The following is a 17,785-nucleotide window of genomic DNA, read 5'->3' on the forward strand; positions in this document are numbered from 1 at the left end:
ATGTGAATTAGTTTAAATGACCTTAAAGGCAAGATGAAAGAATCTCCTTGAGAGTTGTATCCTCTTTGGAAGCAAAGTATTGTTTTGCCCCAAGCCCATCTCGCTCACTGAACATACCATTTGACTTAATTTACCATATACGCTTGTATTTTGGAATTTAAAAAAAATCAATGTACACATTTTAAATCATTATTAATGATTATTATGTAACAGGAAACCAGTGGTTTCATGGATCCTCTTCCTAAATACACCTAAATGAACCTATAGATGACAGGCAGCCCCCCAAAACATCAAGCTTTAGGTTTCTGTTTGTTTACAAAAGGGTTACTCCACAGACAGGCCACTTAGCTGTGTGCATAGTATCTTCTGGAAAGATTTATTTGGAAATTTTCCAATCAAGTAGAAGAACCTTCCCCAGAAACCTAACAGTGAGAGCTAATGGCATGGGCTGTCAAGCTCCATGGGAGACAGTGGGCATGCCTTTTGAGAACCCATGTTTTTGTTTGTTTGTTTGTTTGTTTTTTGAGATGGAGTCTCGCTCTGTTGCCCAGGCTGGAGTGCAGTGGTGCAATCTCGGCTTACTGCAACCTCCAACCTCCCGGGTTCACACCATTCTCCTGCCTCAGCCTCCTGAGTAGCTGGGACTACAGGCACCCGCCACCATGCCTGCCTAATTTTTTGTATTTTTAGTAGAGTTGGGGTTTCACCATGTTAGCCAGGATGGTCTCCATCTCCTGACCTCGTGATCCGCCCGCCTTGGCCTCCCAAAGTGCTGGGATTACACGTGTGAGCCACCGCGCCCGGCCTGAGAACCCATGTTTGAACCCAAAATAGAGAGCTACTGGCCTGGAAACCCAAAGGAACAGATGATATTTGTACATCCCACAATACAACTCACATACAGAAAATGCCTGGGGAAGCTAATTCCTGCTGTCCGAGAGGGGCAAAGAGCTACCACATCGATTGCTGGCCACCTGCCCTTTTCCCCAGATGTGTTGCTTATCTTTTCCTTAACAAGCCTGCTACTTTGAGAAAGAAATATTACTGTAAACCATATCACACACAGCTGCATCCTGCATGGCACAGAGAAAAGTCTGCATTTTGGATTTTTGAAACGGTATCACAGAGCAAACAGTCATTGACGTCACTGGTCTACAGTGTAAATGAACTTCTTGTATTATCTAATTTGGCACAGTGGGCCTTAGGCAATTATTGCATCTTACAGCGCTTTAGTAATTGCCAGCTAGCCCCATGGGCTGGGGGGACCTGCATTCTCTATTGATTTGCAAATAACACCCTTGATGTGATGACATCCATACATTTCAACTATTTCTTAATAATAAAAAAACACTAGATACAAAACCCACAAATAATCTGGCAATAGCGAGAACTTGAAACATCCCATCTTCACTTTGCTTGACGTGTGTGTGTGTGTGTGTCTGCGTGTGTGTCTTCAAGCCTAATGGGTAGGTAAAAAAATAGCATAGCCAAAGCTAACTCTTAAAAAATTCAAGAGAGCTATCTATCCAATATGGATATCCATACCCAGAGCTCCTCGTATCCTCTGTAGCAGTGCTTTTCCTTGTGGGGATCTGGTTACAATGCAGATCTGACTCGGTGGGTCTGGGGTGGGTGGGGCCCAAGACTCTGCATTTCCAACAGCTCCCAGGTGGTGCTGTTGGTTCGAGGCCTTTCTCTGAGCATCAAGGGGAAACCCCAGTTGGTCTGGGAAGGTGTGTGCACATGGGGGCCAGTTGTGGGTGGTGGCCCAGGTGCAGGAGAGGCGGGCAGTGGGCTCCATCTGGTACTTACCCTGCATCTGACTCTGAGGCTGAGGGTTAAAGGCAGTGGAGTGGTTCAGGGAGGCACGAGGGTTGGGCGTGGGGGCTGGGTGGTGTGGGCTGACCCTCATGGCTGTGCGCCGCAGCTGCTCCAGTTCACTGAGCCGCTCGGAAAAGGACAAGCTCCCGGGCTTGGTCTGATCATCTAGTTTCTGCCGATGTCCTATTGTGGGGAGCAGGGAGGGGAGGGGATGGGGGGAGGGAAGGAGGGAGGGAAGAGATCAGAAAAAGTATTGTGGATTTCCTAAAACTGGGGCTTTTCTTGTCTTTCCCCTCTCTCTCCCCTCACCCCAACATAGACTCGCTAGAGATATGCCAGCTGAATTTGGGGCCACTGTCCTCTCAGCAGAATGGGCCCCCTTTCACCGCCTCGGCCACAGAGTGCTCCCCCAGTCTGGGCCTTGGCACCCTCCCCAACCCTCTACACCCACTTCCAATGGGCACAACTCACTGAGATACAGAACTTGGCGGTGGTGGTGATGCCGGGAGGGAAAGAGGCGCATTAATTGTTGGCACATGGCCACATGCCAGGGGCTATGCTGTGGCAGCCAGGAAAGGTGGCCTCCCAGGGGCATCAGAACGGCTGTTCCTTACTGCAAACCCAGCCACTGGCACGTTTTAGAGGCGGCAAAGTGGGCCCCGCAGCTTAGTGGTAGGGCCCCTTCCAAGAGGAAATGAGGCGTGGCTGCAAACCCACAGCCTCTGGGGAGGTCCCATTTCCAGGTACACGCAGGGCATCCTCAGCCCCTCAGCCCCTCTCCCTCTCCCTCTCCTCACAGGCTTTTCACAAGCATTCCTTCTTCCCTGAAGCCGACTCCCCCATGTACCCCTAAGGAGGAGTTGACAGGAAGGCCTCGCCTGTGTCTTGTCCAATATTCCCAGCAGAATAGGCCCACTGGAGCCCAGAGGTAGCTACAGCCTATCTGGTGAGCTTCCCCAGGGGGCTCAGGACTGGTGGGATGGGATGATGGGCCCCTCAGTGTCTATATAGGGTGGGATGGTGGGCCCCTCAGTGTCTATATAGATAGCAAGTGTCCTCATCATGCTCTTCACCAAAACAACCGTCACCAGGAAGCAGCAAGCAGAGGCCACTCATGGGGGACTGGGGCCTACGGTTTTCTCAAAATGTCCTTAAACCAGAGCCAGTCCTGTCGTGCAAAGCTGAGGCTCCAAGGTAGGGAGGTAGCCACAGGAGGCCTGGGCCATTCATTTCTCTTTTAAAGACAATGGCCTCCTGCTGCTTCCTCAGCCTTATGGTTCCAATAAAGAGTCCTTGATCGATTGCACAACCTCTGTTCCCTATTGCCAAATGTCCCCAAAGCCAGACTGAGAAACAGCCTGCCCGCTGCCCCCATAAAGTGCTATTTCACATGCCCTGACCCAATCCTAGACTAGAAAGAGGCCCCCTTGATTCCACTCCCGCAGCCTGGGGTAAGAGCAGACCACGAGAAGTGCACTGTAGTCCAGCTCCCAATGGCTACAATTATAAAATTAAATGGTATAACTTGCATGATGGCTGCAAATCTCCATGGCTGGCCATTTCTTCCTGCTGCCAGGCCCCTTGGCACAGTTGACATTGTCTCAAATTCCAGACCAGAAAAAAAGGGCCCACTATATTGCAGTGATTTTATCATTAACGAGACCTGTTTGGCTCCAAAATGAGGAAAAACACTTAAGCATAATATTTATGTAGTTCAAATGCAATGGCCCCTCTTGTCATGTGTCACCAAGGCAAATCTGGACTCTGATTCAGCGCTCCAGCCCACAACAGGAGACTTGAACGCAAACAGCCTGAGTCACGCAGGCTCAGCATGCATGTGGGAGGCCTGTTCTTGGCTGCGTATTTTAAGCACCGGCTTTGTGGATGAAAGGCCATGGGGCCAGGTCTTGCAGCAACCCCCATCATCCCTTTCCCTCAGAAGTATGAAAATGTCTTTTTTCTAGAGCGCTCTGTGTTGGTCAGCCATGGTGTGACTCAGTGCCTCTGGATGAAGCCTTCCTTAGCTCCTCCCTCCTCTTATCTCTGCCATAGATCCTTGGCTTCCTGATGATCAAACTGAAAAATCTGCAGTTTTCTTGCAGAAAAACAAACAATTCCAATGGAACAACCATTCAAAACATAATAACTCAGCCCTTTAACCTCCTACCACAGTCTAATGCCTGGCATTACGAGTTGGGGTAAAGAAGAAGGCAGGAACAATGATTGTGGAGAGCTCTATCTGCCTCAGAAATAATGCCAGTCGGCAAAGGCTGCCGGCAGGTTTTGTGCTCATTTCAAAACTTCACATTCCTCAGGCACTTAGTGGCATTTTTGAAGAACACTGTGTCAAGGACAGTGGGTGACCCAGGAGAGTGATGTGAGCGAGGTCATTCTGAATACACAGCACTTGACGTGGTAGAGTCTACAGCCACAGCTTGGAAAAACAGCTCTTGGCAGTTGTGTCTCTCTTAGCCAGCAAGCGTGGGGACCTGTGCCACGGAGACACCCAACAGGAATCATCATTCCAGGTAAGCCAGTCCTGTGGTCAGGCACAACGTGAGGTATTTTTTGTTTGTTTGTTTCTTTGTTTTTTATTTTAATTAGTCCCCCTCATTACTATATACTTAGAAATGAGAGCTTTAACTTGTGAGCAATTTCTATACCAGCTGATACCTGCCAAAATTGTAGTCATTTATAGAGATTAACTGATGACTGTCTGCTTTAGCAGAAGTGTTCAGGCATAACTCTCAGAGAAAACAATTCTTCACTCTAAGCTGTTTTCTAAGCCCTGGGAGTCTCAGGGCTGAGTTTAATGCTGGAGGATTGGGGAAGAGCCCATTCCACTCTCCCCACGTGTGTTCCTGGGAGTCAGTAGGAACGTTATTGCCTTGGTAGGGGTCTTGACCCTCAGGCTCACAATGGTGCTGGAGAGCTGTGACACCAAGGCACAGGGGAAATGAGAAGCATTATCATATTCAGGGTGTGGTTTGGATGCACTTACAAGCTAGATCGAAGGAACATCTAATTCTTACTTTCTGAAACCATCAGACCTCATGTGCCAAATAGCAATATTTTGCATGAAATATAGGAACTTCCGATATAAACTTTCAAGCTGGGGAAAATGAATACTTTATGTCTTCAGTTTCCTGTATCTGTGTTCAGTTAAAAGGCTCATTTGCCCCCCGAATGTTAAATAGAGGAGTATGGAAAATGTCTACTATCCAATTCACTTTTCTTCTTTCTCACTGAGTACCGGGCTTTAGAGGGCAACAGGGAATTCGACCCTGGGTCAAGCCCTTGGGTAGAACCAGGATGCAGCTCTGAACACCTGCATGCTGGCAGCTTGGCTTCTTCAGCATGTTTGGAATCAACTGTGAATGTTTACAGGGCGGTGCTTTAAAGTAGTGGGCACATCAAGATTTCACCCTGGGACATCTTAATCTTAAGCAGAGTTGAAAAAGGTCCTAAATTCTTCTAGTACCATTTTCTCATTTTTGAAAAAAATGAAAGTACTTGCTTGGAATTTTATTATGTATGCAGAGTCATAAAAATCCAAAAAAGGGGAAAAAATTGTATATAATAAAAATAAGTCAATGCCGTTTGCAAAATTTTACTTCATTCCAAAGGCATTCCTATTGTTTTCGGGGTTGGCTGCTCATTAGGCCATCCTTAAATGTTATGATATTTTGTGACGGATAGTGAGACCAGCTTTCACTTTTCTGCCATACAAAATAAACTGAGCAGGTATGCATATCTCGTTGATAACCGAGCTGCCTTTTTCAAGACACCATTGTGATCTGTGGCTGTAAGTAACATAAATGTAATATATGATCTTCCATTAAAGAAACCAGATAAGGTTAAATTGCCACCGTTTCTTGGAAAATTTTGGTTAGATAGAATAAAGAATTTTCTGGCAGTCAACAACATATTAGTCTATGTTTCCGATATGGGTTTACTAGTTTTCTTGATAGATTCTTAGCAGAAAAATGAGGAAGGTATATACTCAGAAGACTGTCATGATGAGCCGTTGAGCCAAATCTATGCAAAAGCATAATACCAAAAAGATATATTTCTCTCTGTATATACATGTATAAAATTGTGGTTCTTCTAAAAGCATATAAGAATTTTATATAGTCAATTTTAAAAGGATATCTGTATTTCAGAAGATGTTGGCCAGTCAATTGGATACTCACTACATGAATCTGGATATAAAAATATGGGGTTTTCTTCCTTTGATTTGCTACTGTTTTATGACAATGGAAAAGAAATCAATGTGTGTAGAGAACAGCTTACTTTTCCTGGTATCACAGTCTAACCTTTAGGTTGCAGGGTCATTAGGATTTCAAAGTGACAGTACTGAATGTGACTCTTCCTGAAGCCCCTTGCAGATGGTAAAATAAATCTCCCTAATTGCAAACCTAACCATATGCTGGCTAATTTAATGTTGGGAAATATTCTTCAATATTATTTACCATACCACATGTATATTATATATACTATATAATATAAACTATATAATGGTATATAGTATGTCAGTATACATTCTAATTCATATTATATATGCATGCTTATATATTGTCCAGTGCTACGTAACTATGGGTAGCCTCACTTTCCCCCACCCCAATTTCTTCTCATATCGTTAAGCTAAGACAACACCACAAGGTTGGAGTACTTCAGAACTGGAGAATGGCCACAGAAATCAGCCTTGGTTTTTAACTAATGTGTGGGAAGTGAGGTTCAGAGAGGTTATGTCATTTGCCCAATCTCACACGGCCAGTTACAGGAAGAGGGCAGGTCTGAAAACACACACACTCTCAACACCCACCGACACACACACTCGGAATGTACACTCAGTGCACCTAGAAATTCAACACCCACGGACACACACACTCAGATATGTACACTCAGTGCACCTAGAAATTCAACACTCACCGACACACACACTCGGGATGTACACTCAGTGTGCCTAGAAATTCAACACCCACCGACACACACACTCGGGATGTACACTCAGTGCACCTAGAAATACACATTTCTGTGAACTCAAAGCGAACAGGGTGGAGAAGTGCACAATGCTTCATAGTTTTAGATCTCAGAGACACGAAAGCACTTGAACTTTTGCATTCTGCCTCAACCATCTCACTTCTGCTCCCAGTGTGTGTGTAGAATCAGAAGACAGCCCCAGCCACACTGTGACCTGCAGGCTGTGAGGCTGTGTTTCACCTGCTTGAGTGGGCAATGGAATTACCTGGGCATTCTAGTTTGGTAGGTTGGTCTAGGGTGAAGGGCCTGAGAATTTGGAGTTCTAATAAGGTCCCAGGTGATGCTGAGGCTGCCGATACAGGGAGCACGCTGGGAATATCTGCATGAGAGGGAGAGCTCCTCCTGATACTCAAGCTTCCAATGTGCATTACTACTTCCCTTCTCCTGCCTGCTTCTGATTTGCTGTGTGCTGGGGAGAAACACGCGAACTAAATATGCCTGAACTGTGTTTAGACTGTGTTCATGAGCAATGACTGACGGCCTCCTTTTGGTGATAACTATTTGGCCGTCTTTTCATTTTTTTAACTCTTCAATACACACAGAGCAGCTGAAAATGCCCAAACTCTGCCCTGCAGATAGGCCGGTGTGTGACCGTCTCTGTCTCCTACAATAACTGGGCACATTCTGTCAGAGTCACTGTCATGATAATCAGTCTGATTGCTAAGGTGAACCCCAGATTCTCAAGTAGGAAGTAATTTCTGCTGTGCCATCTATAGAAAGACTTTGGGGAATGGCAGGGAAGGGTTACATGGAACCTTTATTCCGTTCCACAAATGCAGCAGTTAAGTTCTCTGAGTGCCCACAGGACCGGGTGTTAATGCAGATGCCACAATCCTCCTCCCCTCTAGAGAAACAACATGGTCCCAGGGAAACGTGAATGCTAGAGTAGGCGTTAAGAATTCTCCATTCTAAATCTGCTTTTCTACCAACCTTTGCTGTGGACAAGAACAAGTCTCTTCATCACTGAGGCTCCGTATCTGGAAGCCTGGAATTAAGAGACTAAGAAGGATTACTCCAAGGGACTCTAAAAGCATCCACAACAATTACATCTGCTGCCATTATCTACTCAACTGGTTCTAAGCACGGTCTTTCTTGAACAACTTCTAATGAGGTTACGACTTTCAAAGTTTTCCCTTTTGTCTTTTTTCAGGCAGACACCTGGCTGCGGGAGCCACTGCCAAGTCTAGCTGTCAGGTTGGTCTCAGAGCTCTGTCTTGATCCCCACCAGGTCGCCCAGCCTGCGATCCCACCTGGCCTGCTCTATCTTTCTGTGTGCTGGGGGTCAGCAGCTTTGCACGAGGTGTCCTAAGAATTCACTCTCCCTCTGCCTCCAGCTGTTTCATCAGTGACCCTTTGGACAGTTAGTTATGAGTGACCTTGGACTTCAGTATTCAAAGGTGCCCTCCTCTCTCCCTTAAGCCTTCACAGAGCCTTTCGTGCTACCCTACTGACTGGGACATTCCATTCTGCTTTCACCCCTCCCCCTCTACCATCCCAAGGCTGAGTCCAGAGGGAGTGGGACATTAAACACACCTTAAAATTTGCTAGGAAGTTGTCAGAGGCTGCACCTGGGAAGAAAGCCACTCTGCGGAACACTCATCCAGGCTCTCATTTCCCAGCTTCTTGTCTGGGTTGGAAAACAATGAGACATCTGCCCTGAATGCCCACCTTTTCCATCAGTGGCAGTAGGCACATAAGTCTTAGGTGAGTACCTGTCACCCACCCCGCCCACACTCCCTGTGCAGGCCCCTGTTCCTCTAGCTCATGCCCCTAAGCCTCTTAGAGGTGGATGAATCCTGGCAAGTCCCCTAGGATACCTCCACTTCCTAGGAATCCCTTTTACCCACTCAGCGATTTCTAGAGGGGTGATGCTTTAGCCCCAGAGAATCACCAGCAGGAATAGCAGAGCCTTTGGTCGGAAAGAGCTTTTGTACTCTTGTGGGTGGTAACAGGAAAGCAAGCACTCACTGGGTCCACCTGTGTATGGGGCTTTCCTACTCTGGGCCTTCCCGAACCATGGTCCTACAGTGGCCTCTCAGGTGACATGAAGTACAGGTCATGTCACCTGAGGTCAGGTGGCATTTTCTTAAGCCTGTTTTCTAAGGCAAATGCCTCCTACTTGAAACTAGAAGGCAGATAGGTTGAGCTCCCCTCTTTGCTCCGGCAGCAGTGGCCACCTTGCTCTTGCCCCTGTGTCACTGCCCTGGGGCCTTTGCACTTACTGTTTCCTCTGCTCAGGAAGCTCTTCCCTGAGATCCCTGTGGACCTGATCCCTCCCACCCTTCAAGTATTTGCTGAAATGTCATCTTCTCCCTGAGGAGTTCCTGGAGATCCCCTTTTAAGTTGCAGACTATCCCACATCCAGCCAGTCCCTAGCCCTTTGGCTTAGGTTTTCTCCATAGCACATGTTAATGTTATCCAGGGTCTGTCTGCACCCATGGGACTGTAAAGTCTACAAAGACAGGGATTTTGTATTTTTTCTGCACAGCCATGTCTCCAGCACCTATAAAACCAACTGGAGCCTAGGAGGCTCACTAATGTTGGCTGAATGAATGAATGAGTACTCAGGTCCTTCATGATTGGTGCTGTCCAATCACCCTCCACTAGGTTGTGGGAAAGCAGAAATCATTTCAGGTGAAGGAAGTTGTAATTAAAGTTTTCAGCTGAAATGTAACTACAGAAAAACTTCTTGTTGAGAAAAAATACAATATCATAACTGAGCAGTTTCATGAGAATTGTCTCATTAGAAGTTGAATCAGTCCGGGCCTGATGGCTCATCCCAGCACTCTGGGAGGCCGACACAGGCGGGTCACTTGAGGTCAGGAGTTCAAGACCAGCCTGGCCAACATTGTGAAACCCCATCTCCACTAAAAATATAAAAAAATTAGCCAAGCATGGTGGCGCGCACCTGTAGTCCCAGCTACTTGGGAGACTGAGGCAGGAGAATCTCTTGAACCCAGGAGGTAGAGGCTGTAGTAAGCCAAGATCGCTCCACTGCACTCCAGACTGGGTGACAGAGGGAGACCTCTCCAAAAAAAAAAAAAAAAAAAAAAATTAAATCAATCAGGAAAACTCATTTATTTTCATAGTGAAAAATCAAAAAGAATAGGTCAAAGGCTCTTTTGCTGAGTTGAGAGTGGCACTCTGACATAAGCAAAGTCCACCAGCTTCTCCTGTTTCTTTGTAGTGAGTACCCTCTCACACGCACACACAGAGAGACATACAAAAACACAGATGGCACACATGCACACACATACACACATACAGACATGCATGGACAAACATACACACGGACACAGCCATACACATAAAAACATACAGATGCAGCTGGGCGCGGTGGCTCATGCCTGTAATCCCAGCACTTTGGGAGGCTGAGGCGGACAGATCATGAGGTCAGGAGTTCGAGAGCAGCCTAGCCAGTATGGTGAAACCCCATCTCTACTAAAAAATGCAAAAAGTAGCCGGGCATGGTGGCACGTGCCTGTAGTCCCAGTTACAAGTAAGTGGCTGAGGCAGAAGAATTGCTAGAACCCAGGAGGCAGAAGTTGCAATGAGCCAAGATCATGCCAGTGCACTCCAGCCTGAGCGACAGAGCGAGACTCTGTCTCAAAAAACAAAACAAAACAAAATATAGATACACATGGACACACATGTATAAACACACATACAGACACACATGGACATATACACACAAACACAGGCATGCATGTAAACACATACAGACACACACATACACAGACACCTGGACACACACACAGATATAAAACACACATGGGGATACACACATATAAATACACACAGACACATGTACATACGTCACACAGACACATATATTAAGACATGCACAGACACACATACACATACAGACACAAACCAGGACAGACACATATATACAGACGCACACACACATATACATATATCACACAGGGACACACATGCATATACACACAGGCAGATATACAGACATGGGGACACATATATACAAACATACACACATACTGACATACACACATATACACATACATACATATACATCCATCACACATCCATACATCCACTCACACACACACACCGTTCTGTGATCGCCCTCAGGACATGGGCCAAGACAAGTGTAGCAAGCAACAGTCAATGGACAGGAAAGGCTGGCCAACGCCAAGGCAAGATCAACAACCAATACAACTTCAAGCCAGAGACGCACACAGGCCTGCCCCTCCCCAGCCCCCCTGCACCATGCGCCCAAGACTCACGGGACAAAAACCCAAACAAAACTCTGCTCCCTGAGTCCAGGGCTCATTGCCACGAGCAGTGGAGTTTTTCGCCCACTCACATGAGACTCGGGCCTCTCCTAAAAGCAGAGCACTCAAAATCTAAATCTGCCATCCCCGGTCGCCAGGGCTCACTGTCCATTTCTGTCTGGTGACTAAGGAGGTAACTTGAGCTCAGGGCAGAGAAGCCACCTGCTGGCTTTTGCTCTTGACCAGAGGTAGCCCTCTGTGGGGGAAGTGGAGGCAGTTTCTTAAGAAGGGTGCAGACAGCTCCCAAATTCAAGGTTTTTCTTCTTCTACCAGCCTATAATCCCAAATATTAGCAACCCTCCCTAGGTTAAGGTCTTATCTCAAGGAAACCCCCAGTTACAGCGTAACTGAAAAGTAACCAGAGAGTGGTAACCACCAGTGACATGGATTTGTTGATCAGAGTAGCTCCTGCCCAGGGACAGACTCTAAAGAGAAGGCGACTTGCAGAAGAGAAAGAAAGTATTGGTGGCGGGTGGCGCACTATGGAGATATGAGCACTGACTCACAGAACGCTGCCTGGAGCTTCTGACATGGCTTTGGAGTTCAGGCATCAGCAGGGCTAGTCCTGGGGTAGACAGGCAAGACCTGGGGGCCAGGAGAAGAAGATCCAGGAGGCGCACACACACTGCTTGCGTGAGCATGTTACCAGCACTGAGGCTCTCCACACTGGCCTCCTAACCTCCCTGCAGGAATCTCAGTTCCCCTCCCGCAGCAGCAGATCTCATACATAATGGGCAGAGACACTGAGCATGTTTGGACAGGACCGAGGTAAAGGCAGGGCCCTTCCAAGGTTGGGTGATGCCTCCATAAATGCTGGACAAATAAATGAATGAGTGAGTGAGTGAATGAATGAATGAGTGAGCCCCTTTCCTGGACTAGATTTATTCTGGAATGCTCATCCAGCAGTGTGGAGGATGATCTCTCCTCCTCTGTACTTCTAAAAAGAGGGAAGGAAATTCCCTCCTATTTCTAAAAGCCCTGCCCCCTGGGCCTCGGGGACTTTCCCAACAGCAGGGGAACAGCATCTGACTCTGACGCTCTCTCCTGTCACAGACGCCAACTGAGGTTCTAGGCTGGCCTTGCAAAGCCCTTGGACAGATGGCTGAGCAGGTCCTGGCTGGTACAGAAGGACAGGGTACCCTGGCCACTCACAGCTCCTGAGTACTCACTAGTACAAAAGCCAACCGCAGCAAGTTGTTTTGAACAGAACGTTGACCCTCCCTCACAAATAAGGCTTCCGGTTGTTTGTGTCATGACAGCCTCATTCAGGCATCAGGCTCACTTCTATGCACTGTTGTCCACGTGCCAGAAGCAGCCACCTGCTGAGAAGGGCATCTGTGAGGAGGGAGACCTCTTCTAAAGTTACCTGAATGGGCAAGTGGCTGTTTGCCTAGACTCCCACAGAGCACAGCATGGTGATGAAGATGCTGGTCCCACTGTCTGCCAGGTAACATTGGGAGGGAAAGTTCTGTTTATTCCAAGACACTAGTGCCTCCTATTCACCTTGGTGACCACATTTGAGCCAGTTAGGAAATGAAGGAAGGGAAGGTTCCATCCTTGCCAGGGATGGAGACAGGGATGGAGGGCAAGGATGGACGCCCAGGACAGCCTTCTGTCCGGCAACATTCCCCCTCCTCAATCCTTTCCCGATTCGAAAGGTACACAACTTCCCCCTGGCCTGTCTACCTTGAGTCTCTGCCTATGGCTGCCTGGCCTGGTGAGACCAGCCTCCCAGCTCCTCTGTGTTACGCAGGCAATAGGAGAGCTGCCTTTTCAACAACTGTTTTGAACTTTCCTCTCCTTTTAACTCCTTCAACAGTCCCTCTTCTGTGTGAACACTCTGGTGTGTGAAAGCAAGACCTCAGCTCAGGGAGACAGCCCTCATAAACTGCCGCAGATTACCCTGTCTTTTCCCAGCCGGAGGGGGACCCCGCCCCACTCCCTTCCCAGTCTCTTCCCCACCCCCAACTTTTTTTTTTAACCACTTCTGCTTCCTTCATTTTCTCAGCAGCTGCAGCGGAGAGATATAGTAAAGCTACTGTATAGGATTTTGAAAGCAGGGCCTCCAAGAGCTTTCCAAACTCCACACAAGCCAGTTATTCTCTGCCTTGTTTTCTTTGGCTTCAGGTTAGTAACACAGAATGAGTCAAACAGTATTAACTTTCAATAGGGAAGTGGTGTGGTCAACCAAAGCTGTTTGCGGCTAGATTATGAAGATAGGTAGGGCAGGTAATGCAGAATAGCCCATAATACTGTGAGGAGGCAGAGGAGGGAGGCGGCCCCACTCAGAAACACTCCAACAATTAAGTCAACAGAACTCACACCATCTTTTTTTAGTTGGCTGAGGAATTAACACCAAGGTCTCTGACCAGCCAGCTTTGGGAAGTTGGCCATAATGGGGCTTGGACAATTGAGTACTTTGTGGGTTTAAGGATGTCTTTTTTTTTTTTTTTTTTTTTCAAATGTTGCCAAAGTCATGGGAACTCTAGTTAGGAAGATTTCCCCTACTTAGAGCATGTCACTCTGGCGTGGACCTTCATTCATCTCTTTCCCCGGCCTGGGGTTGATCCATTCTCCCTTCTTCCCCCTTCTCCTGCCCTGCCCCCACCTTCTCAGTCACAATCTTTGTCTTCCCAGTTTGGCAGGACATCCCAGGGGCCCCTGGGCTTTCCTTCCTGAGGTTAGAAGATGGTGCTTTGAAAGAACAATTGCTCCTACAACCATCAAATCAAACTTTTAGAAGCTGATAAAGACCTTAAAAATCATTCAATCTCCTCTTCTTTCTCCTTCTGTAGATGAGGAATCTGAGGGTCTAAGAGGAGACATGAGCTGCTGAGATTGACTGAGCTAGCAGGGCCAGACATAGACTCCACGGGCAGGCCCGCAGTCTTTCCACCAGGTCAGGCCACTCCCTCGCCCAGGGCTCAAGATTCCTTTTAGAGTTCAACAGAGCAGCTCCCGAGAACAGACCAGCCCTCAAGACTCAAATTTCAGTGGTTTCCAGTTCTTTCTCCCTGCACTCAGCTACCTATTTATTTTGAGACTGGCTGAATCACCCGAAGAATAGAACGGGTTTCTCTGAAGCTGCTCCCGGCAGCATGTCAGCAAATGAACAGGACAGCGAGCTGGCCTCTGGAGCCTTGGAAGATTCTCACCTCCAAGCAGCTGCAGTTTTTGACTCGTCCTGGGAAACTGGCACTGAGACTCAGGGGTGTAACATTTCACCTCCCTGAAATCAAATCCAGAAATCTCAGGCGAGCAGCATATATAAAAAGCCACAGGGGAAAAAAGGAATACGGACTCAGCAACTCTTAGGTGCTCTGAGCCTCTTCCCAAGCCTTCTGGTTCTGTGAGCATTTCATTGAAAGAAAATGGAATAACAGAGTTTTAGAAGAAAAACTGTATTTGGTCTTGCAAGAGAAAAGTATATTCATATAAAACTCAGTTCTCAACTATTTGCCAAGGTTACTTCTTTTGTTTCCAACATTTAAAAAGGGTATCTAGTTGTAGGTAGAGAAAACATTAAGATATGTGAATGGAAAAAGGTAAAATTTCTAAAAGTATGGATTCACAGTGGGGTCTGATTTAAATGTTTAAATTTTTTCTCTTTAATTTCTTCTCACCAATCCTGAAAGACACGACGAGATAATATCTACTTTCAATAAATCAATTAATTTTATTTAAAATCCCTAAGATTTTAATATAGTACATGCAAAACAATAATAGATTTTCTATTTTTTAATTATCTAATTATATTTATATTATCTAATTGACAGACTACTTAAAAAGCACATTGATATATATTATCTCAATGTGTCCTCAAGAACCCTGTGCAGTAGGCAGAACTCATAGTATTATTCCCATCTTATAGATGACCCAGGGGAAGCTTCTAGATGCTCAGAGCTTTGCAGGTCACACAACAGCATAGGTGCTTCATGTTAAGAAGCAGAACTGCATTTTGATAAAACCTTTAATTGGAAAAAGATCACCTCTCCCTCAAGGAAGTAGGGCAACATGGTTGACAGGGTTATGTTTCAATGAGGAATACATTTGTTGAAGCCAGTTCAGTGATGCAGTAATTGGAATTAATAATAGGTAGTATGGAAGGAAAAGAGAAAAAGCCCTTATTGTACTGTATTGTGAGGGCCAAATCTGCCAAGCTTTTTTTTTTCTTCTTTTTTTTTAAGTACTTGGCAATGGTAAATATTTGGCCCCCACTTGAACAGAATTCCATTTGTTTCCTCTCATAAGGTCTTTGGGACATGGTCAAGGGGCCTACCCGTCTAGAGCATGTGCTTTAATAATAGCAGCTAATATTTAAGGAACACTTCTGTGCCCAGCACGGTGCTATGCCCTAACATGAATTATTTTATTCAATCCGCACAATAATCCCCAACAGAGGGATATCATACTCCTGGTTTTATACCCAAGGAGGCTGAGGGTGGGGAGGTTAATCTGATCCCGAAGGGGAGGCCAGGCTGAATCAGGAAGCCAGCTCTGGAGCTTCGCCATCAGCCACTGCTCCAGCTCGCCTTTCAGGCTATCTCTTTTAATCCTCACATCCCCTAGCAAGAGAGGTATCATGCAGTCCATTCTACAGATGGGAAAACTGTGAAACGCAGTTTTAGACTTGAAGCTCCAAACTCCTTTCTCGCTCACCGAGGCTACCTGAGCACCCTGGTTCACTTTATTTTTTGAGACAGAGTCTCACTCTGTCACCCAGGCTGGAGTGCAGTGGAGCAATCTCGGCTCACAGCAACCTCTGCCTCTCGAGTTCAAGTGATTCTCCTGCCTCAGCATCCCGAGTAGCTGGGATTATAGGCGCCTGCCACCATGCCCGGCTAATTTTTGTATTTTTAGTAGAGACGGGGTTTCACCATGTTGGCCAGGCTGGTCTCGAACTCCTGACCTCAGGTAATCGGCCCACCTCGGGCTTCCAAAGTGCTGGGATTACAGGCGTGAGCTACCGCGCCCAGCCCCCTGGTTCACTTTTGAAACACTGGGCTATGCCTGGCGAGTAGTGTCCGAGAGGCGCGTGGGACGTGGCTCCGCATATTTCTCCTAGCTCTTTCAAATGAATGAACTGGAAATATCATACAACCACTTCAAAGGTAAGTGAAAATAAGGTGGTACCAGGAAAATATTCAAAGGGCCATAAATCTATGTAGTATCTAGGAACTTATTTCAAATGTTTACTCTTTATTTTAAATAATCAGAATATGACTTTTAAGCCATGGTGAACAAAAACAAATACAAAATCAAACAAGTATCAAATGTTCGACATTTCAGTATATGGAAGTACACTGAAAGATTTCAATAGCAGTCTGGGTTTTTGTCAATAATTGCTTTAATGGAAACTAAGTATATGTATATCATGAAAGTACCAAACCAATGTACTGCCTTTAAATAACTTTCTAGGGGTCTTGAGAGTTGGCAGATTGATTCCATTGTGTTACTTTTTGAAAAGGCAAACAGAAAAGAACTTTGCTTTGGGTACATATATATATATATAATATATATATAATATATATTATATATAAAATATATAATATATATTATATATATATTATATATACTATATATATTATATATAGTATATATAATATATTATATATACTATATACATAGTATATATAATATATTATACTATATATAATATATTATATAGTATATATATTATATATATACTATATATTATAATATATAGTATATATATAATATATATTATATATATATATATTAGCTTGGCTTTCACCTATGAATGTGAATCCAGAATATTTGGCTATTCATGACAGCAAATTTTACCAGTGACACGGCATAATTTACACATAGAAGTTGATGAAAATATACCATGTGTCAATCATACTATAAAAAAGGAATTTCACATCCAACTAAATGTCACTGGCTTGTGATATGTCTGATAATATAGCCATAATGTACGGTAATAGATTATACCTAATTTACCCTTTCTGTATTGCCAACTTTTCATAATTAATACTTTGATAGCAAAAAAAAGCAAACCTTCTCTAAAAGTTGCCTTTAAAGGAAAAGAATATGCGATGAACAGGAGAACACAGAAATTGCCTATCAGCTCAAATGAATTTAAATGCAGATATGGTGTAAGGGGGTAGCTTTTACTTATTTAAGCTAAACTGGAATTATTATTATTATTATTACTATTATTATTTTGGTGGTAGTAGTGGAGTTCCATGAGACCCAGTGTATCAAATTCTTACTAATGCCTTTCCTAGTTACATGGCTTACAGGAAAAAACAACAACAACAAAAAAAACTGAAGCCTTTGAGAAAACTCAAGGAGAAATTTTTCAAAATGAAAAATGGAAAGTGGCTAGGGTATGAGAAAAATTCTAAATCTACCTGAAAGCACAGGAGTTGATGTATTTTAATGTGCTGGGATGCTGTGACTGCCAACCGCAATCCATCTGAAAGCTGTGGGTCCATCCATCCCCATGGGAGACGTGCACCCAATGACAAGGCCTGACCATCTCAGACTGGGGCTGCCCCATCAGACCCCCAAAGGACACAGGCAGCAGGCGGAGCTGCCTTGCACACATGGAAGGGTCTCCAGTGCTGGTCACTGATTTAGGAAACTCAGTGGGTGGCCGG

General features: G+C 45.4%; 1 protein-coding gene and 1 long non-coding RNA gene across 18 annotated transcripts in view, besides 1 other annotated feature; one reads left to right on the forward strand and one right to left on the reverse strand.

Annotated features, from left to right (window-relative positions):
* RUNX1 (RUNX family transcription factor 1) overlaps positions 1-17,785 on the reverse strand; it is a 261,502-nt gene that overhangs the window by 44,797 nt on the left and 198,920 nt on the right. For 10 of the 17 annotated variants that reach the window (XM_011529767.3, NM_001754.5, XM_047441010.1 and 7 more), the window contains one exon: positions 1,813-2,004. The exons of the other annotated variants lie outside the window; for them this stretch is intronic. In XM_011529767.3, the coding sequence (XP_011528069.1) occupies positions 1,813-2,004 (192 nt within the window). The remainder of the gene's footprint in view (positions 1-1,812; positions 2,005-17,785) is intronic. 17 annotated transcript variants of the gene reach the window in all.
* Positions 3,200-4,399: an enhancer, noted in NCBI's record as "MED14-independent group 3 enhancer chr21:36208094-36209293 (GRCh37/hg19 assembly coordinates)". NCBI's record gives its function as "activates an origin of replication core promoter dependent on BRD2, BRD4, P300/CBP and CDK7 cofactors, and independent of MED14, by STARR-seq in HCT116 cells {active_cell/tissue: HCT116}" and the evidence as "EXISTENCE:reporter gene assay evidence [ECO:0000049][PMID:35650434]".
* The window catches only part of RUNX1-AS1 (RUNX1 antisense RNA 1), a 48,740-nt gene continuing 34,670 nt past the window's right edge, over positions 3,716-17,785 (forward strand). The window contains exon 1 of the long non-coding RNA NR_186614.1: positions 3,716-4,349. This is a non-coding gene — a long non-coding RNA (RUNX1 antisense RNA 1). The remainder of the gene's footprint in view (positions 4,350-17,785) is intronic.

The sequence above is a fragment of the Homo sapiens genome, chromosome 21 (assembly GCF_000001405.40).
Source record: "Homo sapiens chromosome 21, GRCh38.p14 Primary Assembly".
NCBI lineage: Eukaryota > Metazoa > Chordata > Mammalia > Primates > Hominidae > Homo > Homo sapiens.